We start from the raw sequence: 25,060 nt of genomic DNA, 5'->3' as shown, positions 1-25,060 counted from the left end.
TGGCCAGGCCGGCTAATTTTTGTATTTTTAGTAGAGACGGAGGTTTCACCATGTTGGCCAGGCTGGTCTCAAACTCCTGACCTCAGGTGATCCACCCACCTCAGCCTCCTGAAGTGCTGAGATTACAGGCGTGAGCCACTACGCCCAGCCAGAACTAGGCTTTAAAATGAACCAGAGTTCATTCACATCCAGGCATCTGTTGAACTGTTGATTTTCAACTTCAACTGCCAGCTACAGGTGAACAGATACTTAGAAAGGCATTCTTCCCCTTTCCTCCCTTTATGAGGTCAATAACTAATGACAAATATTCCTCATGGATGGACTACTTCGCCAAAGAGTTCAGAGTCTCCTACCAAAGATGCTATTCTATCTCCATTCCCACAATGCTGAGCACATCAGGTGCAGCCACAGCGGCAATAACTGGATTATCAGTCTGTGTAGGAAGCAAGTGCCAAAGGGCAAGGATGCAACTAGAAATGAACTTGGGTCTACTGGGGCTTTACCTGGGACTTGTTCCAAAGTAGCATCGTTGGAAACCACATTCCTCATTGAGAAAAAAGTGTTTTGCATTTATTACATTATTATATTGGATTATGACTGGGGTAGAAGATTCCTCCCCCACGATAACAAAGGTCCCTGGTACACAATACTTAGGAAGCCTGAGACAAAACACACCTAAGAGAAAGATATAGTTTATTCTCCCTCATTTGCATATATTCTCTTGTAGCTTGGGCAGAGAAGTCTAGCAGGAAGAACAGATCGTTCCCATAGCTGAACATGTAGAGATTCTGATTTATGTGCACTGACATCCAATTTACCTGGACAATGTGGAAATTCATTATTTCTCCACCTTTATTTCATATTCCTCCATTAAGGGGTATTGATTTTAAGCAAATCAGCTAGTGTTCATGAGTTCATACAGTATTTCAGATCCTGCCATACAACCTCAGGCAGCTGTTGGTCTGGGGGAAATTCCTCCAGCTTTTGTCCAGACTCTCCCAACATGGTCTGTTGTTCGGAGGCTGAAGAGCTGCTATTAGCACAGTAATTTTTCCAAATGAACACTGAGCTAAATTATCTCAAATGTATAAAGGAACATCTCTCACTGTGTTAGGGAAAATTGCCTCCCAAATTATAAGACTATACAAAGCACATATTAATTCTAGGCCCAAGGACATCCAAATTGCCTGAGATTCTGTGCTGTATTGTAATAACACACTCTTAATAATGTCAGGCTCTGAGCATACTGCAAGGTACACGTTGTTAGGAAGATAAACCAGGGTTTTTCTCCATTAGGATCACCACATGCACACCCAAGCCCAGCTACAGGTATTTTGCTCTGAGATTCAAGCCTTTTGCAGAGGAAATAAATTCCAATTGCATAGACAGGGAGTGAATTTGAATTCTAAACTGGGTCAACTGTCCCAAATGGCTTTCTCACTGCTGCCCATGAGTGAGGCAACCTAGGAAGCAGCTGTGGGCAGCCATAGTGCTCGGAAGAGATGCCTGACAGCCGATGCCTCAGGGAGTAGCTCCTGCTCACGTGTGTTTAATTCCACGACAAGGGGAAATCAGAGGCCAGACACCAGCTGACAGACTGTGCCAAATGCCAATGCTGTGGTCAGTGTGTGTGGACAAACCCCAGAAACTAGTGCTACCAAAATTGCCAAAAACCAGTCCCCCAGGCAGCGAAACAGCTCAAATGTAGTCCACACAAGATGTTTTCAGTGGATATTTTCAAAAATAAGGTTTATTCAGTTTTTCACCTTGTTTTATCTACTCTTGTTTTTTTTTTCCTACTTCTCTGAGGAAATATTACAAAGCAAATCCCAGATATAATGACATTTTATCCCCACATCCCTCAGTATGCATCTAAAAAATGTTTTTTTCTCCTGTGCAGTCACAATGCCATTACACACCTCAACAAATGGATAATAATTCCTTCTATCATCTCAGTTCCAAATCAAATGTATCTAATTGTGTCAAAAATTGTCTTTCCTAGGCCAGCACAGGTGGCTCATGCCTGTAATCCCAGCCCTTTGGGAGGCTGAGGTGGGCGGATCACCTAAGTTCAGGAGATCGAGACCAGCCTGGTCAACATGGCGAAACCCTGTCTGTACTAAAAATACAAAAATTAGCCGGGCGTGGTGGTGCGCACCTGAAATCCCAGCTACTTGGGAGGCTGAGACAGGAGAATCACTTGAACCCAGGAGGTGGAGGCTGCAGTGAGCCAAGATTGTGCCACTGCACTCCAGTCTGGGCGACAGAGTGAGACTCTGTCTCAAACATACATACATACATACATACATACATACATACATACATACATACATACATAAATGTAGGAAAGTGAGTACCCCTCCTGAAGGCTTGATAAAATGTAAAAGGCTGTGGAGTCTCCCCAGCACCCTGCCCCCTTCTTGAAGGTAATGGCACCTCACTTTTCCCTCGGAAGGCAGTAGCCATCCCACCCTTATTCCACCACGTAGTCCTGGTGGCCTGTCAGCAAAGTTAAGTCCTTCGGGGGGGGACCCATAGCTCAAGCTTGGCCAGCAGGAATTTGAATCTTGTGAGCGCTAAGCACATGCATTGACTACAGCCTCTGAAGAGGTTGTCCGTTGGTTTCTGCTCCATTGAAACTGCCTGAATTCTCTTCTTCCAAAGACCTGATTTTTTTATTCCTTAAATTGTATGAACTGTGCAACAAATAGTTCTCTCTTTAAGTTAGCCAGACATGGTTTCTGACCCAATGGCTTTCTTGCACAATTTCTCACTACGATTTCCTTCCTGGCTCTATGTTTTTGCAATCTCACCTGGCCTATGCACTCAATAGACACAGCAGCATGAACATTCAACAAGAGTGAGCCGGGCACAGTGGCTCACACCTTTAATCCCAGCACTTTGGGAGGCTGTGGCAGGCAGATCACCTGAGGTGAGGAGTTCAAAACCAGCCTGACCAACATGGAGAAACCTCGTCTCTACTAAAAATACAAAATTAGTCAGTCATGGTGGCCCATACCTGTAATCCCAGCTACTCGGGATGCTAAGGCAGGAGAATCACTTGAACCTGGGAGGCAGAGTTTGCAGTGAGCCAAGATCGCGCCGTTGCACTCCAGCCTGAGCAACAAGAGCAAAACTCCGTCTCAGAAAAAAACAAAGAACAAAAAACAAGAGTGAACCCTAGGCCGGGCGTGGTGGCTCACGCCTGTAATCCCAGCACTTTGGGAGGCCGAGGTGGGAAGACCACGAGGTCAGGAGATCAAGACCATCTTGGCTAACATGGTGAAACCCCGTCTCTACTAAAAATACAAAAAAATTAGCCGGGCACGGTGGTGGGTGCCTGTAGTCCCAGCTACTTGGGAGACTGAGGCAGGAGAATGGCCTGAACTAGGGAGGCGGAGCTTGCAGTGAGCAGCGATCACACCACTGCACTCCAGCCTGGACTACAGAGCGAGACTCCGTCTCAAAAAAAAAAAAAAAAAAGAGTGAACCCTGCGAGGGTGCACCATTCCTGGCCTCTGTATTCACAAAGCTCAAACAGGGCCAGGAAAGCTTTCTTTTTTTTTTTTTTCTTTAATGGAGATGACATCCTCCTTCAGGAGCTTGCTGCATTGCTGACACAGTAACAGGGACTTAGCAAGGGTGTTGAATAACTTGACTAATTGAAAGGATCTACTCAAGAAGTAGGGTCGGTTCCTACAGAGCTGAGTGGAAAGAGAACCTCAGGGTGCAAAAGTGCCTCTCTGTTCCCTGGCACCACATTGAGACCCAAGGCATCCTGAGCCAATTCCTGACCTGTCTCCAGTGCTGCCCCCACCAAACAATTTTAGGATTCAAGTGCTCTTTATTTAGCTCTTCTATTGGATGAGTATTTGAGTTTAGAGTATTAAATATTCATGAAATGAAATTTAAAGGCACAGGCTGGGTGTGGTGGATCATGCCTGGAATCCTAACACTTCGGGAGGCCAAGGGGGACAGATCGCCCGAGCTCAGGAGTTCAAGACCAGCCTGGGCAATGTGATGAAACCCTGTCTCTACAAAAAAAAAATATTTTTAGGCCGGGTACTCACGGCTACCCCGGGAGAGGGCACACTTGAGGCTGGTCTGGGAAGGGGAGTCACTGTGTGTGAAGGAGGGCATAGGCTGGAACTAGAAAGCTCTGAGACTCCAGGTGACCTTGCAGGGCTTCTCAGGCATTCTCCAGCAGGCCCTGAGCCCCAGCAGCATGATCTGGCCACCAATTTGTTCTTATCTACCATCCAACCCCACTCCTCTTTAGGGTCATTTTAAAGGTCAGATTAGCCTCTCACATCTCCTGGACTTCCTGGGAGTCTAATATACCATAAAATAAATGACAAAACCCTTACCCTGTCTGCCTTGCCCCCCATTCGGAAATGTGGTTGAAATGGGGACTTCCCCACGCCTCTCAACATCCTGACCTTCAACCATCCTGCCGAGAACTTTCCCTGGAGCCTTTTCTCACCAGCCTCTCCCACTTTTCCGTCAGCTTGCAGAGACCCAGGAGCGCTGGCTGTGGAAGTCAGCTCTGTTCAGGCCCCCCTTCCCACAGACTTGTCCTGGAGGGGTGTTCACCCATCCCCGCCACCAGGGGTCTAAAGCTGACTGTGGCAAAAATCTATATTTTTTTTTCCAAAATAAAGATTTTCTCCTTTGTTTTTATTATTCATTTAGAAAGCCCAGTACAAACCAGAGCCCTGCACCCCCTCTGTGGGTCTATTCCCCCTCTCTATCAGGAACCTGGGCCTCCCGTCCTCCTCCTCCTTCTCCTCCTCTCCTTTTATTTCGGTGGCTCCCTGATTGGAAAAGGCGGCCCCCTTCTTCCTCCCCAGCTCCACAATTGTCACCGCCAATTAGTGCATTGTTAGGATACACAATGGCGTTACTGTAGCCAGTGGAATGGGAGGCCTTTGTGCTTCTCCAACCGGCCGTGGGGACAGTCAAGTTTCATTTAGAGATTTAAAACACAACGCCAGAAGAAAAATGCTATCAGAAAAGCCAAAAGCAAAAAAAAAACAAAAAAAAAAAACACAAAAAAACGGGGTGGCAGGGCAGGGCGGGGGTGGGGGTGGGGGGAGAAGGGGGAAAAAAGCACAAAAAAAAAAAAAAAGAAAAGGAAAAAGGAGAAGGTGAAGATGAAGATGAAGGAAAAGAAAGGCACTGGCAAGCAAACGTTGAAAGGGGAAGAAAAGAAAAATCTGCTATTCAGGAGTTAGCCCGGACTCAAGAAAAGACCCGAGTGGTTGCTGCACACCGAAGTCCCCCTCAGAGCACAAAAAGGGGCTCAAGCTTAACAGTAATTAGTGGTCTGATTGTGCTTGGAACACTGTGTGTCTTTAGAGGATTTTTCCAACTTTTTTTTCAGTCTTCTTCAATAAAGGAGATGGGAGGAGAAAGGTAGGGGATAGGGAGGGAGGGGCCTACAAGCTATATCCCCCCCCACCCCAACAATCAGTGTGGGAGGGGTGCAATTCAGCCTTTCTCTTTGACAGGTAAATTGGATTTTATTCTCTAAAGCTTGTAACTAATTACAGAAGGTCTTTTCTCTAAGAATGTGACATATGGGTGTGTTTTAGAGTCACTGTTTTATTTGTTTCAAGTACTTTTCGAGCAGCCTAGCCCTTTTTGCAGCCCGGAAGATACCCGCAGAGGCCCAGGCCTTTCATCCAGAGCCCATGGGTAGTAGACTTTTTCTGTCAGCAAAACTTTTATGTCTAGGAGATCTTTTCCTATCCGTAAAATTAAGATCCCAGTTTAAATGAGCGATTGACCTGAGAAAGCAGCCTTCTCCTCCGAGCATCTGCACAGATATCCCTTCTGCTGGAAAACACGACTTCTCTCCCAATGTTCTCCCCTCTCTCTTCCTCCCCCAAGATCCCTACAACAATCAGATGTGGCCCCTGCTTGTTAGAGCTCAAGGTACAGGGAACGATCTGTGGGCAAGGGAGCCACCCTGAAGTCAGGCTGATCTCATAAATGGCCAAGTTCATTCTCCCTCTCCCACTTGCCCCCACCATATCCCCACATTTCTAGAAAGTCCAGAATTACCTCACCAACTCAGACTTACAAGCATATTCATACATTTTTCTTTAAAAATTTCTTCCAACAACCTAGCCCAGTGCAGCCCATTCACAACTTATACCTGCTTCACTCTGTTGCTTGTGTTTCTTATTTTCCCTCAAATGCGTTAACTATGCCTCCCCTTTCCCTCTCTCTGGGTCAGACCAGACTCCTAGCTTTTACTTCTTCATTTCTTTTTTACAAATAAGCTAATGGAGCTGGGCACGGTGACTCACACTTGTAATCCCAGCACTTTGGGAGGCCGAGGCAGGCAGATCACCTGAGGTCAGGAGTTCAAGAGCAGCCCGGCCAACATGGTGAAACCCCGACTCTACTAAGAAGTTAAAAATTAGCTGGGCGTGGTGGCGCGTGCCTGTAATCCCAGCTACTCAGTAGGCTAAGGCAGGAGAATTGCTTGAACCCAGGAGGCGGAGGTTGCAGCGAGCCACCACTGCACTCCACTGCCACTCACGCCACTGCACTCCAGCCTGGGCAACAAAGTGAGACTCCATCTCAAAAAACAAAACAAAACAAATAAGCTAATGGAGACGTCCGCTCCTTGCAAGGTTCAAATAAAGTCTCCCTCATCTTAGAAACAAGACAGTCGGAATTTACCCAAGATGGTCTGTCTCACTATTGCACCTCTTCCTTTTTTTTTGAGACAGAGTTTTGCTCTTGTTGCCCAGACTGGAGTGCAATGGTGAGATCTCGGCTCACCGCAAACTCCGCCTCCCGGTTTCAAGCAATTCTCCTGCCTCAGCCTCCCGAGTAGCTGAGATTACAGGCATGTGCCACCACGCCTGGCTAATTTTGTACCCAGGATGACCCATGGTTGTTCCTAGGCACTGACTCCAGCTGGGAGGGGCAGCTGGGGATGGGGCAGCCATCCGGAAATGAGAAGACCAGAGTTCTAATCCACATCCCGTCAACAAGTGACAATGGGCAGGTAGCTCCAGTCCTGGGAGAGCCTGAGTGCGTTCATGTGTAAAAGGCTCGTTATGCACACCTTCAGGCATTGTAATGAGGATTAGGAGAGAGATTTTATCAAAAGGGAGGAGTCCTGGCACTGAATACACACCGGTTTCCCTTTTTGTCTGGTAGTGGAGGAGGGCACGTTCACTTCCTTTTCACCCCTCTCTGCTGTGTTGTGGAATTGCCCTGTGCTCTTGGCAGACACCTCATTGCACACCGGCTCCCTCACCACCACCACTCCCCGCAAAAGGGGCACGTCCTGATTCCACCAGGAAATGAAAAGTGAAACCTTCTGATAATGACCCCTGGAATGTCACAAATATCCAAGTCAGGAAATGCAAATCCAGGGGAGGGGTTATTGAAGCGACAATGATTTAGCTTCCTCTAAATGCTGTATTTCCAGGGCTGGAGAGGAGAGGGGGCATTCTTTGGCTCTCCTTAGATTTACTCTGTTTTCCAAAGAGTTTTGGAAAGTCCAAAGGGTCTTGGAAAACAGAATAAGGGGATTCCTGAAAGAGTTCCTGGCAAGGGGTTTGTGGCAAGTGTGGCATCAGCCCTTCCCACTGTCCCTGCACCATTGGCCTTTGTCCTGTGTGGGTAATGGGAACCCAAAGACTCCAGAGCTTGCAAAGGAGGCACAAGAAATCTCAACAGGAGGCAGCTGGCTGCACGTACACTCTCCAAGCTGGGGCCTGGCATCAAGTTCACCACCTACATAGCTCTCAGAGCCCCAGCGCCTCTCTGTCCCATGGAGAGTGGGACATCCTCCTGTTCTCATCCTCTCTCTCCAGACCATTCCAATCACTTCTGAGCCAGCCTTCCTGCCAGCTTCTTCCGTGCTGCCCCCAACACAGTCTTTGTAAAAATGCAAGCCCGATCTTGCCTTACCCCAGGTTAAGAATCTCTTATGGCTCTGCCACCTTCAGGACACAGCCCAAGCTCCAGAGCATGAATGGGAAAGCCTTTGATAATATGGGCCTACCTTTCTCTTTAACTTCATCTCCTGCCACCAGGATAGCTTGGTTCATGAGCACACAACCTGTGTGCTCACTGGATTTAATGCTCACCTGTCTCCATCTTGAAATTCTGAATAATTTTTGAGCAAAAGGGTCTCCACGTTTGCATTTTGCACAGGCCCTGCAAATGTGGTGGCTGGTCTTGCCATTCTCATTCCTGCTCCACATTCCTCTAACACCAAACTTTTTTTTTTTTTTTTGAGATGGAGTCTTGCTTTGTCGCCAGGCTGTAGTACAGTGGCACGATCTCGGCTCACTGCAACCTCCGACTCCCTGATTCAAGCAATTCTCCTGCCCCAGCCTCCCGAGTAGCTGGGATTACAGGCACGTGCCACAACACCCAGCTAATTTTTGTATTTTTTTTAGTAGAGACGGGGCTTTACCATGTTGGCCAGGATGGTCTCGTTCTCCTGACCTCGTGATCCGCCCAAAGTGCTGGGATTACAGGCGTGAGCCACCCCGCCCGGCCACACCAAACATATTACTGTTCTCCAAAGTGTTCTGCAGTTTCTTCTATTTTGGACATTTCCCCCAGCCTATTAATAAATTTCTTTTTCTTTTTTTTTTTTTTTTGAGATGGAGTCTCGCTCTGTTGCCAGGCTGGAGTGCAGTGGCGCAATCTCGGCTCACTGCAACCTCCGCCTCCTGGGTTCAAGTGATTCTCCTGCCTCAGCCTCCCAAGTAGCTAGGACTACAGGCATGTGCCACCATGCCCAGCTAATTTTTGTATTTATAATAGAGATGGGGTTTCACCACGTTGGCCAGGATGGTCTCGATCTCTTGACCTCATGATCCACCCGCCTTGGCCTCCCAAAGTGCTGGGATTACAGGTGTGAACCACCGCATCCAGGCCCCACATATTAACAAATTTCTAGCCACTCTTTTAAACTGCCCACATATCCCTTTCTTTGAGAATCTTCCTTGATCCCTTTCTCCAAAATATCTATTGCCCCTTGGCAAATGCCCACTTTTCAGCTTATCACAGCTTATTATTATTTATTTCCTACCTCAACTTGAAGGTTATGAACTCCAAGGGACAGAAATTGTGTCTTGCACAGTACTGGGGTTTCTGATGCTTGTTGGAATAACATATAACTAAGTGCTATGTTTAAGAAATAAGTGTTAGTTGAAAGTGTCATTAAGTGTTCATTCCAATGGCCAAACCTGCACTATACATGTAGCATTATTCATGTATACTCACTCTAGCCTCACTAGGGGTCCTGGAGCCACAGTGCAGCTCACCACTGCTGGGACCAGTTAGGCAGCCTCTGCTGAGTGGTTTGCCTTAGAATAACACTGTCCAGTAGAACATTCTGGGATGATGGAAGTGCCCTATAGCAGCTCATCCAGCATAGCAGTCACTAGTCACATGTGCTATTGAGCACTTGAAATGTAGCTAATGCAACTGAAGAAATGAATATTTGATTTGACTTCACTTTAATTGATTTAAATTTCAGTAGCCTCCTGTGGCTAGTGGTTCTCACATTGGAGGTACCATCTTCCATGACATGACTGATCCTTGCCGTGAGCCAGGGAACAAGTCAGCTCAGAAATCTTGTTGCTTCAGAAAGACTTCTTTGCAAGTTACCAGCCTTTGAGTACCTCCTGAGGAGGATTTTCAATGAAAAGAAAAACAGTCTTTTCCATTTTCCTTGAGTGATCCCGGCAACCTCTCTCCACACACATTCTGCTTGCGGACCACAGTCTGGGTAAATATGGCGTAAATATGAAACAGGACAGGGTGGTTGCAGGAGAATAGAAAATTCTAGGCAACAATTTCACATTACTAGCAAGAGGAAACTGTTGAAATAGCTGCCGAAGGTAGGGACAGCTAAGCCCCTGAGTAACCAGGGTGTGGACCATACTGGCTAAGACCGACTAACATGGCACTGGGTTTGACCTCAGTTTCTCTTAGGACCTCATTATGTGCTCATTAGCATACTAAATGCACACCCACCACCAGCACCAGCACGGCTCCGGGAACACCCATATTTGATGTAAAAATGGGTGGCCCCAGACTGGGCACGATGGCTCAGGTCTATAATTGCAGCACTTTGGGAGGCAGAGGTGGGCAGTTCATTTGAGGTTAGGAGTTCAAGACCAGCTTGGCCAACATGGTGAAACCCTACCTCTACTAAAATTTTTAAAAAATAGCCAGGCGTGGTGGCAGGTGCCTGTAATCCCAGCTACTGGGGAGGCTGAGAAGGAAAATTGCTTGAACCCAGGAGGCAGAGGTTGCAGTGAGCTGTGATCACGCCATTACACTCGAGCCTGGGCGACAGAGTGAGACTCTGCCTCATAAAAAAAAAAAAAGGTGGCCCCACAGTTCCACGAAATCTCCACCTTTTTCCAGAAATCTTCATGAAAAACCCATCCCTTGGTTAAAGAACCCCATAAAAATAGAAACCTTAAACCTCACTGTGAGACTTTCTTGAGTCCACCGCCCTCCCTTTCCTGAGTGTGTCCTTTTCACTTTGTGACAAATCTCTGTACTTTCACTGTTTTCTGACTCATCCTTGAATTCCTTCACACCATGATGTCAAGAGCCTGGACACCACCGGCATTTGGGGACCTCCCCCAGCCCACCAGTATCAGATATACTTGGCCTTATTATCTGTGCAATGAGGGGAAAAGCCTTCCACACCTGGGAGGGAAATACATGTTGGGGCCAGGTATTTCTTTTTTTTTTTTTTTCGAGACGGAGTTTCACTCTTGTTGCCCAGGCTGGAGTGCAGTGGTGCCATCTCGGCTCACTGCAATCTCCGCCTCCCGGATTCAAGCGATTCTCCTACCTCAGCCTCCTAAGTAGCTGGGATTACAGGCATGTGCCACCATGCCTGGCTAATTTTGTGTTTTTAGTAGAGACAGGGTTCCACCATGTTGGTCAGGCTGGTCTCGAACTCCTGACCTCAGGTGATCCGCCCACCTCAGCCTCCCAAAGTGCTGGGATTACAGGCATGAGCCACCGCACCTGGCAAGGATTCCATTTTCAAGGTGCATTGCTTCTTTCAATGAGGACTTCTGTAACTTACACAGGTAACAGAAGATTGCCTGGGGACAATTTCACAGATGAGAGCAGCTGGCTTAGAAATCACAACAAATCTCTATGGCCAAAAATCTGCAAGCAAATCACAGAAAGCAAGTCCCCCATCAGCCTCACAATGGACTTTGGGGACTTGGGGTGAAAGGGTGGGAAGCAGGTGGGAAGGGAGGGATAAAAGACCACAAATTGGGTTCAGTGTATACTGCTCTGGTGATGGGTGCACCAAAATCTCACAAATCACCACTAAAGAACTTACTTATGTAACAAAATACCACCTGTTCCCTAAAAACCTATGGAAATAAAAAAAATTTTTTTTAATCACTCACACAAAAAAGAAAATGTGGTCAGAAAAAGAAAATAAAACAAAATGATTCACAAAGTTGAAAAAAGAGAAAACCCCTACAGGATTTGAATTATAATTCTATATGCTATTTTAAATTATGATCATTAAAAGGATAAAATAGGCTGGGCACAGGGTGGCTCATGCCTGTAATCCCAGCGCTTTGGGAGGCCTAGGCGGGTGGATCACGTGAGCTCAGGAGTTCTAGACCAGCCTGGCCAACATGGCGAAACCCAGTCTCTACTGAAAAAAAAAACTTAGCCAGGCATGGTGGTGCATGCATGTAGTCCCAGCTACTTGGGAGGCTGAGGCAGAAGAATCGCTCGAATCCAAGAGGCAGAGGTTGTAATGAGCCGAGATTGTGCCACTGCACTCTAGCCTGGGTGACAGAGCAAGCCTCCCTCTCAAAAAAAAAAAAAAATGCATAAAACAATTTTCAGGCCTCCAAGGAAAATGTTGGTCCTTCCCCTCATCTTCCTGCCACCACTCCCACCACCATGGCCTCCAGATTCCCTAAGGCACCCCCAGTTTTCAAAGGAGGTGCTAGAAAACTAGCTACACCCCAGAAGTTAGGATGAGAATGACAGAAATGATAGCTGAAAGTGTGTGTTGGGCAAAGCGGGGTAGGGTTCCCCTTAAAGCTCTGCTGGCTGCATTTAAAAACAGATACAGGCCAGGCATGGTGGCTCTTGCCTATAATCCCAGAACTTTGAGAGGCCAAGACAGAAGAGTCTCTTGAGGCCAGGAGTTCCAGACTAGCCTGGGCAAGAAAGCAAGACCTCTGACTCTACATAATAAAAATTTTAAAATGAGTCATGCATTGTGGCATGCACCTGTAGTCCCAGCTAGCCGGGAGGTTGAGACAGGAAGATCACTGGAGCCCAATAAGTTGAGGCTGCAGTTAGCTGTGATCATGCCACTGCCCTCCAGCCTGAGTGCTGGTGGGACCTTGACCCCAGTCTCATAAATAAGTAAGTAAATAAATAAATAAATAAAAACGGATACACAGCACACTTTCATTCGTTCCGGAATCATAAAACTGAGTTTGAGGGGTTTGTCCTTCTCTTTTTCCTCTTCTATGAGAACAGCTGTTCATACCAATTATTCTTAGCTGACTCTTACAGAAGCTCTGAGTGTCCACTAAAAATGTACTTTGTCAGTCAATAGTTGAATCTAGTGCTCTATTTAGGAAGGGTTGTGTACAAAAAAAGTGTAACCCAGGTCTCTGGCCTCAAAAGGGGTGACTATTTTTCTTCTGTGACAAGGAACAAAGTTTAGAGAGCAATACAAGAATGAACATAAGCCCTTATTAACCCTTTTCCCATTTAGAAAAAAAAAGTGCAGCTCACTGCCAGCACTCATTTAATTTCACATAAACACAATATTTGAGGCTGAAGCAAATCTGACTGACTTCAATGTAAAAATAAAATATAAAAACTGTTCTCAGGCCAGTGCAGTGGCTCATGCCTGTAATCCCAGCACTTTGGGAGGCCGAGGAGGATGGATCACTTGAGGTCAGGAGCTCGGGACCAGCCTTGCCAACATGGCGAAACCCCATCTCTACTAAAAAAAAAAATTAAAAAAAAATTAAAAAAAAAAATAGCCGGTCCTCTTGGTGCACATCTGTAATCCCAGCTACTTGGGAGGCTGAGGCAGGAGAATAGCTTGAATCCAGGAAGCAGAGGCTGCAGTGAGCCGAGATCACGTCACTGCACTCCAGCCTGGGGTACAGAGTCAGACTCTGTCTCAAAAGAAAAAAAAAAAAAGAACTGTTCTCAGAGTTATTTCTAAATAGAACTAACATCAGAATTGTCTGAATCATCAGAATTATCTATTTCAGAAAAATCAGATTCATCAAAAGAATCCGGCCAACAACCATTCCAGAATGATGTTAACATCATGCATAGGAATGCTATGTTTTCTAGGATTGGACATTTTCAGTGATTGAGAATTACTATATTTTGTAAATGGAAATACTGTTTCTAAAAACAGAATGTTAAAAATAGAATGATGTCTTTTGTTTCCAAATTCAATATATTAGAGTGATGCAAAAATAATAATAAAAGCGAGATACTTGTGGCAAAGTTATCTTGGGGGTAAATGCTGCACAAGTGCTGCCTGTGAGTATTCTCGGGGCAAGCGGGAAAAGGGTTAAGTATGGGTTACAAACTGGTGTGGTTAGAGTTGGAAAAGGCAAAGATCTCAATGGGCTACAGTTAGGAGGCAGCTTCACAGAGGCGATAAGCAGGACCATTCCCAAGGGATGACAACCTGGAGACATGGTGCAGTCACAGAGGCTCCTCCAGCCCCAAGGCAGTCCCAGAAGTAGGAGGTGCTCTGCCAGTGAGGCTGTGGACTTTAGGGGCTCATGGACACACAGCCACCCAACCTGGGCTCCCACATCCAACCACAGGGCCCCAAGCAAAACCACGGGAGCCCCTTCCTGTCTCCTTCTGCACACACACATGCTTGCAAAGTCATCCATTCCTGGCCACGGTTCTTGTTATACCCCAGATCCAGTGTCAGGGATTCCATGAGCACAGATCAGGATAATGGTGGCTCCACCAAAGGGACAGGGATGAATTCCCAGCTCACTCTCTATCACAACGGTGACCTTCAGTGTGGGACTCAGCTGTCCTGAGCCCTCCACACTGTGAAATGGGGATGATGATACTTCACTTGCAGGATTATTATGAAGACTAAATCAGATATTAAATAATAGCTCCTTAGTGGGCCGGGCGCGGTGGCTCACGCCTGTAATCCCAGCACTGTGGGAGGCCGAGACGGGCGGATCACGAGGTCAGGAGATCGAGACCATCCTGGCTAACACGGTGAAACCCCGTCTCTACTAATACAAAAAATTAGCCAGGCATAGTGGCGAGTGCCTGTAGTCCCAGCTGCTCGGGAGGCTGAGGCGGGAGAATGGCGTGAACCCGGGAGGCAGAGCTTGCAGTGAGCCAAGATCCCGCCACTGCACTCCAGCCTGGGGGACAGAGCGAGACTCAGTCTCAAAAAACAAAAAACAAAAACAAAAAAAAGAAAACAGAACTTAAATTGCCAAAAATATGTGAAAAATACAATGGAATATTTTGCAGTACATAGTTAAAAAGTTAACATAGAATTACCACATGATCCAGCAATTCCACTTCTGAGTATATACCCTAAAGAATTAAAAGCAGGGACTCAGTTATTTGCACACCAATGCTTATAGCAGCATTACTCGCGCTAGCCAAAAGACAGAAATAACCCAAATGGGCTGGGCGCGGTGGCTCACGCCCGTAATCCCAGCACTTTGGGAGGCCGAGGCAGGCGGATCACCAGAGGTCGGGAGTTCGAGATCACCCTGACCAACATGGAGAAACCCGTCTCTACTAAAAATACAAAAAAATTAGCCAGGCGTGGTGGCACATGCCTGTAATTCCAGCTACTGGGGAGGCTGAGGCAGGAGAATCGCTTGAACCCACGAGGCAGAGGTTGCGGTGAGCCGAGATCGTGCCATTGCAGTCCAACCTGGGCAACAAGAGCACAAAACTCTGTCTCAAAAAAAAAAAAGAAATAACCCAAATGTTCATCAACAGATGAATGGATAAACAAAATATGGTGTATATATATTATGTATGCATATATGTATGTTGTGTATATATTATGCATACATATATGTATGTTGTGTATATATTATGCATACATATATGTATGATGTGTATACATTATACATCATATATAATTATAATATATATATATTATTCAGCCTTAAAAAGGAATGAAATTTGGACATATGCTACAATAGGAATGAACCTTGAAGACATTATGCTAAACTAAGCTAGACACAAAAAAACAAATACTGTAGGTTTCCAGTTATATGAGGTACCTAGAGTAGTCAAATTCACAGAGATGTAATAGAAAGTGAGTGGTGATTGCCAGGGGTGGGGAGGGGAAATGGGGATTCCACGTTTAATGAGTACAGAGTTCAGTATGGGATGACGAAAACGTTCTGGAAGTGCTGATGACGACGGTTGCACAGCAGTGTGAATGTACTTAGCCACTGAACTATCACCTAACAATGGTTAAACGGTCAATTTACTGTTATGCTTTGTTTTATCCTACCACATTAAAAAGAAATATTTTCAAACTTGGATTCCAAAAGAACTGTCATTTTTCCTACCTTTAATTACACTTGAGGAATATTCTTTCTTCCTTCTCATCATTGAACTTCTTCCTTGTGCCTTTTCTATGAAAAATACAAGGGAGCTGGGGCTCAGTGGCTCATGCCTGTAATCTCAGCACTTTGGGAGGCTGAGGCGGGTGGGTCACCTGAGGTCAAGAGTTCGAAACCAGCCTGGCCAAAATGGTGAAACACTGTCTCTACTAAAAATACAAAAAATTAGCCAGGGGTGTGGTACATGCCTGTAATCCCAGCTACTTGGGAGGCTGAGGCAGGAGAATTGCTTGAACCTGGAAGGTGGAGGTTGCAGTGAGACGAGATTGCGCCATTGAACTCCAGCCTGGGCAACAAGAGTGAAGCTCCGTCTCAAAAAAAAAAAAAAAAACAACCAAGTGAGGCCGGGCGTGGTGACTCACACCTGTAATCCCAACACTTTGGGAGGCTGAGGCAGGTGGATCATCTGAGGTCGGGGGGCTCGAGACCAGCCTGGCCAACATGGTGAAGCCCTGTCTCTACTAAAAATACAAAAATTAGCCTAGCGTTTTGGTGCCTGCCTGTAACCCCAGTTACTCAGGAGGCTGAGGCAGGAGAATCACTTGAACCCAGGAGGTGGAGGTTGCAATGAGCCGAGATGGTGCCATTGCACTCCATCCTGGGCAACAGAGCGAGACTTTGTCTCAAAAAAAAAAGAGAGAGGAGAGAAAATGGAAGTGGGGAAAGAAGAAAAGAAAGAAAAGACCACTGCTCAAAGATGGGGCAGAAGGACACCTGAAACAGGAAGCAGAGATGCCTTGGCATTTAAATGAAAAAACCTAAAGATCGCTGATCCCATGTGATGGGCAGGCAGAACTTTGCATCCTCTGGGACAAAATGGGAAGAGTTTTCCAGTTGTGGGCATCTCTCATTTCTGAATAAGAGAAAAATGGGCTAGAGAGAAGAGGGGGTGGATATGAAGGGAGGCAAACTGACAACGCAGGACAGGACAGGACATCGCTTGAGTGGCGTTCAGGCCAAATAAAGAAATAAAAATAAAAACTTGCCTAATGCTTTTTTGGTTTTCCTGCTGCTTTACAAACACCAACTAATGAATTCACCTGTCTGGGACAGCCCCTCTAGAGGGAGGTAAATAGTTACAGGCTCTTAGACCCTATCTGCTAAGTAAACGAGCCACACAATGGACTAGAAGTTCCACGGCTTGTGTGGTGAGAGGTTGCAGAAAATTAGTTAATTGCATCATGTCTGCAGCTGATAAAGCAGGTCTAGTGGGTGGCATATTTTACAGTGACACAGTTTCAGGTGGAAGCTGAAAATTCAAATCGCTGCTTCTCTAAGAGATTTGAGGCTCCAGGATCTAATCCTGTTAAAACTTAGGCTCCAAATGAAGAGAAACCTGAGGAACTGGGGTTGGTGGGGGGCGGGGTGGGGGAGCAGAGCTTCCTGTTAAAGGCAGGAGCTAATGCAACCATTATCCTGGATGTTTAATTCAAAAGGCAACACAGATGCATGCACAAGAATCTGTTTTGTCTCACTCTATATCCAGAGGTCCTCCAGCAATGACCCTTCCCCCATTATATGTACACTCCTCCCTTCCAATGTGCTTAATCATTTCTTTTAACTTTTTATTATAGAAAATTTCAAAAACACATGTGAACTCCCCACCCCATGTACCTGTCACCAGCCTCAACAACTATCAACTCATGGTGAATCTTGTTTCATCTAAACCAGTGTTTCTCAAGCTTGAGTGTGTATCAGAATCAGCTGGGGGGAGCTTGTTGAAACACAGATCGCTGGACCCCATCTCAGATTTTTTTTTTTTTTTTTTTTTGAGATAAGAGTCTTGCTCCGTCACCCAGGCTGGAGTGCAATGGCATGATCTTGGCTCACTGCAACCTCTACCTCCCAGGTTCAAGCGATTATCCTGCCTCAGCCTCCCCAGTAGCTGGGATTTACAGGCACGTGCCACCACGCCCGGTAATATTTTTTTTTTTTTTTTTTTTTTTGAGACAGGGTCTCTCTCTGTCACCAGGCTGGAGTGTAGTGGCACAATCTCGGCTCACTGCAACCTCTGCCTCCTGGGTTCAAGTGATTCTCCTGCCTCAGCCTCCCTAGTAGCTGGGACTACAGGCATGCACCACCACGCCCAGCTAATTTTGTACTTTTAGTAGAGACGGGGTTTCGCCATGTTGGTCAGGCTGGTCTAGAACTCCTGACCTCAGATGATCTGCCCGCCTCGGCTTCCCAGAGTATCGGGATTACAGGTGTGAGCCACTGTGCTTAGCCCCTTCTCAGGATTTCTGATCCACTAGGTCTGAGGTGGGACCTGAGAACTTGCATTTCAGACAAGTTCCCAGGTGATGCTGATGCTGCCCTTTGGCAACCACTTTGAGAACCACTGATCTGTATGCCTAGTCACTTTTCCTTTCTGGTATTATTTTTCTCAAAGCCAATCCCAGACATTACATCATTTCTTCTTAAATATTCAGTGCTGTAAAACATAATATACTTACTCAGTTGGATACATTAATATGAACAAAAAAAGATAATACACTGAAAAATAATAATTCATTCATACCAATAATCATCTAATGAGTGCTCACATTTGCAAATGCTTCATCAATTACATAATTTTTTTACACTTTATTTTAATCAGAAGAAAGTACGACTACTGTGATGGAATGGTATGCCTTTAAGTCTCTTAATCTTTAACCATTATTTAACCATTAGCCCTCCTTCAAGTCTACTATTTCCTAGAAATTGATTTTTGAAGATATTCTTTTTTTTTTTTTTTTTTTTTTTTTGAGACGAAGTCTCACTGTTGTCGCCCAGGCTAGAGTGCAATGGTGCGATCTCGGCTCATTGCAACCTCCGCCTCCCGGGTTCAAGCGATTCTCCTGCCTCAGCCTCCGAGTACCTGGGATTACAGGTGCTGCCGCCACCCCCAGGTAATTTTTGTATTTTTAGTAGAGATGGAGTTTCACTATGTTGGCCATGCTGGTCTGTAACTCCTGACCTCAGGCGATCTGCCCGCCTCAGCCTCCCAAAGTGCTGGGATTACAGGCATGATCCCCCACGCCCGGCCCGAAGTTATTCTTTATTATTTTTGAAGAGATACAATAGCACAGCAATAAGTGTTCTGGAGTCCAGCTGTCTGCTTGGCTCCACCATGAGCCCTGTGACCTTGTCAAGTTAGTTGACCTCTCTAAGCACTAGGGTACTGGTCAATGTTTAACAACCAGCACTCTGCCCATCAGTAGGAGCTTGGAAAGAAATGCAAGCCCTGATCTGTACATTTGTCAATTCTTTTTTTTTTTTTTTTTTTTGAGACGGAGTCTCGCTGTGTCGCCCAGGCTGGAGTGCAGTGGCGCGATCTCGGCTCACTGCAAGCTCCGCCTCCCAGGTTCACGCCATTCTCCTGCCTCAGCCTCCCCAGTAGCTGGGACTACAGGCGCCCGCCACCATGCCCGGCTGATTTTTTGTATTTTTAGTAGAGACGGGGTTTCACCGTGTTAGCCAGGATGGTCTTGATCTCCTGACCTCGTGATCCACCCGCCTCGGCCTCCCAAAGTGCTGGGATTACAGGCGTGAGCCACCGCGCCCGGCCCCGTCAATTCTTGTGGTGTAAATACCCACACGGTTACCGGAAAGGGCCCCAATGCAGACCCCGAGAGGGTTCTTAGATCTTGCACAAGAATTTGAGGCAAATTCATAAGAGTGAAAGCCAGTTTATTAAGAAAGTAAAGGACTATAGAATGACTAGGCAGAGCAGCCCCAAGGGCTGCTGGTTGCCCATTTTTATGGTTATTTCTTGATCATATGCTAAACAAGGGGTAGATTATTCATGAGGTTTCCAGGAAAGGGGTGGGCAATTCCTGGAACTGAGGGTTCCTCCCCTTTTTAGACCATATAGGGTAACTTCCTGACATTGCCACGGCATTTGTGAACTGTCATGGGGTTGGTGGGAGTGTCTTTTAGCATGCTAATATATTATAATTAGCGTATAATGAGCAGTGTGGACGACAAGAGGTCACTCTCCTGGCCATCTTGGTTTTGCTGGGTTTTTGCCGGCTTCTTTACTGCAACCTGTTTTATCAGCAAGGTCTTTATGGCCTGTATCTTGTGCTGACCTCCTATCTCACACTGTGACTTAGAATGTCTTCACCTCCTGGGAATGCAGCCCAGTAGGTCTCAGCCTTATTTTACCCAGTCCCTGTCCAAGATGGAGTCGCTCTGGTTCAAACGCTTCTGACACCACCATGACCAGTTTCAAGTTACCAGCATGATGTCGCTAAATGGAGAGTTGGGAAAAGCAGTAGACTAGCACACTATATTCCACAGAACTTCTACCATACAGATACAACAGACGTAACCTCCAAAGCACAGATACAAACACAGTCAAATAATTAGTAAGTGATGAGTTCTGTGTATTTATTACCTTTGTTCTAAACATAATTTACTTAATTATAAGTTTATGTAATAAACTTTTTATTTATTTTTTTTTTTAGGCACTCTCACTCTGTTGCCCAGGCTGGAGTGCAATGGCGCTATCTCAGCTCACTGCAACCTCCGCCTCCTGGGTTCAAGAGATTCTCCTTCCTCAGCCTCCCGAGTAGCTGGGATTACAGGCATGTGCCACCACATCCGGCTAATTTTTGTATTTCTAGTGGAGACGCGGTTTCACTATGTTGGTCAGGCTAGTCTCGAACTCCCGACCTCAAGTGATCCACCCACCTCGGCCTCCCAAAGTGCTGGGATTACAGGTGTGAGCCACCGCGCCCAGCCTATTTATTTATTTTTTGAAACGAGGTCTCATTGTGTTCCCCGGGCTGATTTCAAACTTCTGGGCTCAATCAGTCCTCCCACCTCAGGCTTACCAATGGCTATGTTTAACCATTCGCTTACTAAATTCTTTTTTTTTTTTTTTTTTTTGAGACGGAGTCTCGCTGTGTCATCAAGGCTGGAGTGCAGTGGCACGATCTTGGCTCACTGCAAGCTCCGCCTCCCGGGTTCACGCCATTCTCCTGCCTCAGCCTCCCGAGTAGCTGAGGCTGGGACTACAGGCTCCCGCCACCATGCCCAGCTAATTTTTTGTATTTTTAGTAGAGACAGGGTGTCACCGTGTTAGCCAGGATGGTCTCGATCTCCCGACCTCGTGATCTGCCCGCCTCGGCCCCCCAAAGTGCTGGGATTACAGGCTTCAGCCACCATGCCCGGCCACTAAATTCTTGAAGTTTAACAACCAGCTCTGGCTTCCTCACACTGCTGTCTCTAAGTCTGTTCTTTCTCACCTGTGAATTGGAAAGCACAGCAAGCAATCATGCTTAGAGGCGAGGATTAAAGAAGAGTGTGCCCTTGAGTGCACAGGAAAGAGTTCGTGACTGTTCTTGGTCAAGAGGACCTCAAACAGAAAGTTACTTGCTCCCCCTGGCTGGGCCAGGAGAGCAGCCATGTGGGGCTTGTAGCAACTCACTGCACACAGGGCAGCCGTTTTCAGAATTCCAAGGGGAGAAAGCAGCCAGAAAAGGGTGTGAGCTCACCCTGTAGGCCCAGGAATTGACCCTTGGGCCTGGCTTGAGAAACAAGAGCTAAGCAGTCAGGCAGCCGGCTCCACCCCTCCACTTTACACAGAGGCCACTTACACTGTTTGCTAAAATCAAGACCCTTCTTTTGAGGTAGATCAGGTTACAGGTAAGGTGATTATTGTTTCTAATGGTCTGCAAACAGCTTCTCAACTGTTAACCCCTCCAGCATCTGGGGACACTTGGACAAGCCCTGCCTGGGCAGAGCTACTCAAGCCCCCTGAGCTCAGAGGACTGAAATATGTCCCAAGAACGGGGCCGGAGTTAGTGGGGTCCCAGGCCAGCCAACAGGTTGAGGCTGAGCGCTCGGCACCCATCTTCCCCAAATAGCCTGTGACTCCCTCCTGGCAGTCTCATTCCTGGGAGTTTAAGCCAGGGACTGGAGAACTCATTTGGCTTTGGAGACAAGCCAAATCTTGTCTGCAGAGCAAGTAAATAAAAGAGGCAGGATCAAGTGGCACTACATCCTTTGTGCCTGTCAGACTCTGAATTCTAGGCCCCCACTGCCCATCAGTGGGAGCTTGGGCAAGTTACTAATGTTCTCTGTGCCTCAGTTTCCTCATAATGTATAATGAGGATAAAATGGTATCCACCCTGAGGAGTTATGGGCCAAATTATAGGCAAATGCATGGAGAGCACTTAGCAAAATACCTGGCACATAACAAGTACACAATAAATAGTAACTGCTATTACTATTATTTTAGTAATATTTTAATGCGTGTAGATATTCTTTTTTTGTTGTTTCCTCGAGAGAGAGTCTTGCTCTGTCGCCCAGCCTGGAGTGCAATGGCACGATCTCAGCTCACTGCAACCTCCACCTCCTGGGTTCAAGTGATTCTCCTGCCTCAGCCTCCCAAGTAGCTGGGATTACAGGCATGTGCCACCATGCCGGGCTAATTTTTTGTATTTTTAGTAGAGACAGGGTTTCAGCATGTAGGCAAGGCTGGTCTCGAACTCCTGACCTCAGATGATCCACTCGCCTTGGCCTCCCAAAGTGCTGGGATTACAGGCGTGAGCCACCACACCCGGCCGCATGTAGATATTCTTATAGTTAATAAAATGCAAATCCATTTAGAAGCATTGCATTTAATTAATATGCTTTTCTTTTCTGTATTTTCCCATTCAGTAGATATAAAAAGTGTCATAAAGGGCCATCTTTGGGGTGTTTAGACTTTTAAAAACAGTCCTCATTCTTGGGAAACCACTGATCTAGCCTATGAGAGATCAGCACTGTCTCCATGTACCTCAAGAGGGCTCAGGCCCATGAAAGATGACAGGATTTTGCACAGTTGAAATGGGAAAAAAAGGCCAGGCACGGTGGCTCATGCTTGTAATCCCAGCACTTTGGGAGGTTGAGGTGGGTGGATCACCCGAGGTCAGGAGTTTGAGACCAGCCTGGCCAACATGGTGAAACCCCATCTCTACTAAAAATACAAAAATTAGCTGGGCACGATGGCAGGCGCCTGTAGTCCCAGCTGCTCGGGAGGCTGAGGCAAGAGAATTGCTTGAACTCAGGAAGCGGAGGTTGCAGTGAGCCACGATTGTGCCACTGCACTCCAGCCTAGGCAACAGAGCAAGACTCTGTCTCAAAAAAAAGAAAAAGAAATGGAAAAATAGGCAATGGGGATTAGACAGTGTCACCTTAGATGTCAAGAAGGAAGAGGGAGGCCAGGCATGGTGGCTCATGCCTGTAATCCCAGCACTTCGGGAGGGCGAGGCAGATGGATCACCTCAGGTCAGGAGTTCAAGACCACCCTGACCAACATGGAGAAACCCCATCTGTACTAAAAATACAAAATTAGCCGGGCACGGTGGCACATGCCTGTAGACCCAGCTACTTGGGAGGCTGAGGCAGGAGAATCACTTGAACCTGGGAGGTGGATATTGCAGTGAGCCTAGATCGAGCCAGTGCACTCCAGCCTGGGTGACAGAGCAAGACTCCGTCTAAAAAAAAAAAAGAAAGAAAGAAAGAAGAGGGGGCTGAGGAGATGGGAGCCTGGGATGAGGTGGGATGGAAGGGTGTGGCTCTTCAAAAGAAAAACAATTCAGAAAAAAACAGTATCTTCAAAATGTTCTTTTACCCATTAGTGGCATCCACAAAATCTTTCTGAGGGCTCTAACATGGAAAAATAGTTAATATTAAAACAGAAGAACAGGAAATTGTTGAGATTCAGAAACGGCTGTTTTCAATTTTGTAGCTTCTTCCTCTCCCATTGCCAGTTACAGTGTGAGGTACAGGGTGAGCCCATTACACAGAATTACATTCATATATGCCCAGAAAAGGTCTCTGGAAGGTTATTGCATGAAAGAATGAATAGCAGTTAACTCAGAGATGTGAAATTTGAATATGGGGAAATAAGAATAATTTTTGCTGGCCGGGTGCGGTGGCTCACGCCTGTAATCCCAGCACTTTGGGAGGCCAAGGTGGGCGGATCACTTGAGGTCTGGAGTTAGAAACCAGCATGACCAACACGGAGAAACCCCATTTCTACTAAAAATAGAAAATTAGCCGGGCGTGGTGGCGCATGCCTGTAATCCCAGCTACTCCAGAGGCTGAGGCAGGAGAATTGCTGGAACTCAGGAGGCGGAGTTTGTGGTGAGCTGAGATTGTGCCATTGCACTCCAGCCTGGGCAACAAGAGTGAAACTCCGTCCCCGCCCCCCAAAAAGGAATAATTTTTGCTTACTTCTTTACTTCTATATAGTTTTGCAACAGTCATGTACTACCTTTTCCCCCATCTTTCAAATGTAGTTAGAACTTATGATATCCAAGTGCACAGATCTTGTGTACAATTTGGTCAGTTCTAACAAATGCTTACATCTGTGTAACCTACACACCTATCAAGATATGGAACATTTTTCGCTGGGCACAGTGGCTCACACCTGTAATCCCAGTGCTTTGAGAGGCTGAGGCAGACAGATCACCTGAGGTTAGGAGTTCAAAACCAGCCTGGCCAACATGGTGAAACCCCGTCTCTACTAAAAATACAAAAAATTAGCTGTTCATGGTGGTGGGAGCCTGTAATCCCAGCTACTCAGGAGGCTGAGGCAGGAGAATTGCTTGAACCCAGGAGGCAGAGGTTGCAGTAAGCCGAGATCCTGTCACTGCACTCCAGCTTGGGCGACAGAGAGAGACTCTGTCTCAAAAAAACAAAACAAAACAAAACCCAAAAAGCAGGATATGGAACATTTTTAAGATGAACCCAAAAAACTTTCCTCATGCCCCTTTCCAAGTAATCGTCTTCTCCTTCTGTCCTCTGTGCATCTTCCTATCCTTCCAGCCCCTGCAAGCAAACATGGACCTGATTTCTAGTTTTGCATGATCTAGAACATCGTGTAAGCAGAGTCATATGGCATGTACTCTTGTCTCTAGCTTCTTTCACTCAACATAATTTCTTAAGCTTCATTCATGCGGTCATATGGATCGGTAGTTTGTTCCTTTTTTTTTTTTTTTTTTTGAGACAGAGTCTTGTTTTGTCGCCCAGGCTGGAGTGCAGTGGCGCGATCTCGGCTCACTGGAAACTCCGCCTCCCAGGTTCAAGCGATCCTCCTGCCTCAGCCTCCCGAGTAGCTGGGATTATAGGTGTGGGCCACCACGTCCAGCTAATTTTTGTATTTTTAGTAGAGATGGCGTTTCACCATGTTGGTCAGGCTGGTCTCGAACCCCTGACCTCATGATCTGCCTGCCTCAGCCTCCCAAAGTGCTGGGATTACAGGCACGAGCCACTGCGCCCGGCTAGTTTGTTCTTTTTTATTGATGAGTAATAACCTGTTGCATGGATCTACCACAATTTGCGTATTCATCTGTCAGTTGACACCTGGACTGTTTTCAGTTTTTGATTATTACAAATAAAAATACAGAGAAAGGCCGGGT

At 46.4% G+C, this 25,060-nt stretch overlaps 6 annotated features.

Moving 5' to 3' along the window:
* Positions 6,457 to 7,278: an enhancer, noted in NCBI's record as "OCT4-NANOG-H3K27ac-H3K4me1 hESC enhancer chr2:208675729-208676550 (GRCh37/hg19 assembly coordinates)". NCBI's record gives its function as "activates a minimal SCP1, AML or CMV promoter by ChIP-STARR-seq in naive and primed H9 embryonic stem cells {active_cell/tissue: H9 hESC(naive and primed)}" and the evidence as "EXISTENCE:reporter gene assay evidence [ECO:0000049][PMID:30033119]".
* Positions 6,844 to 7,138: a silencer, noted in NCBI's record as "tiled region #8784; K562 Repressive non-DNase unmatched - State 3:PromF". NCBI's record gives its function as "represses a minimal TATA promoter and a strong SV40 promoter by Sharpr-MPRA in K562 cells {active_cell/tissue: K562}" and the evidence as "EXISTENCE:reporter gene assay evidence [ECO:0000049][PMID:27701403]".
* Positions 15,587 to 16,086: an enhancer, noted in NCBI's record as "H3K4me1 hESC enhancer chr2:208666921-208667420 (GRCh37/hg19 assembly coordinates)". NCBI's record gives its function as "activates a minimal SCP1, AML or CMV promoter by ChIP-STARR-seq in naive H9 embryonic stem cells {active_cell/tissue: H9 hESC(naive)}" and the evidence as "EXISTENCE:reporter gene assay evidence [ECO:0000049][PMID:30033119]".
* Positions 16,087 to 16,588: an enhancer, noted in NCBI's record as "H3K4me1 hESC enhancer chr2:208666419-208666920 (GRCh37/hg19 assembly coordinates)". NCBI's record gives its function as "activates a minimal SCP1, AML or CMV promoter by ChIP-STARR-seq in naive H9 embryonic stem cells {active_cell/tissue: H9 hESC(naive)}" and the evidence as "EXISTENCE:reporter gene assay evidence [ECO:0000049][PMID:30033119]".
* Positions 20,565 to 21,549: an enhancer, noted in NCBI's record as "NANOG-H3K27ac-H3K4me1 hESC enhancer chr2:208661458-208662442 (GRCh37/hg19 assembly coordinates)". NCBI's record gives its function as "activates a minimal SCP1, AML or CMV promoter by ChIP-STARR-seq in primed H9 embryonic stem cells {active_cell/tissue: H9 hESC(primed)}" and the evidence as "EXISTENCE:reporter gene assay evidence [ECO:0000049][PMID:30033119]".
* Positions 21,550 to 22,535: an enhancer, noted in NCBI's record as "NANOG-H3K27ac-H3K4me1 hESC enhancer chr2:208660472-208661457 (GRCh37/hg19 assembly coordinates)". NCBI's record gives its function as "activates a minimal SCP1, AML or CMV promoter by ChIP-STARR-seq in primed H9 embryonic stem cells {active_cell/tissue: H9 hESC(primed)}" and the evidence as "EXISTENCE:reporter gene assay evidence [ECO:0000049][PMID:30033119]".

Source organism: Homo sapiens, chromosome 2, assembly GCF_000001405.40.
Source record: "Homo sapiens chromosome 2, GRCh38.p14 Primary Assembly".
Taxonomy (NCBI): Eukaryota; Metazoa; Chordata; class Mammalia; order Primates; family Hominidae; genus Homo; species Homo sapiens.
Note: the sequence above shows the minus strand (reverse complement) of the source record. Positions and strands in the feature narration are given on the sequence as shown.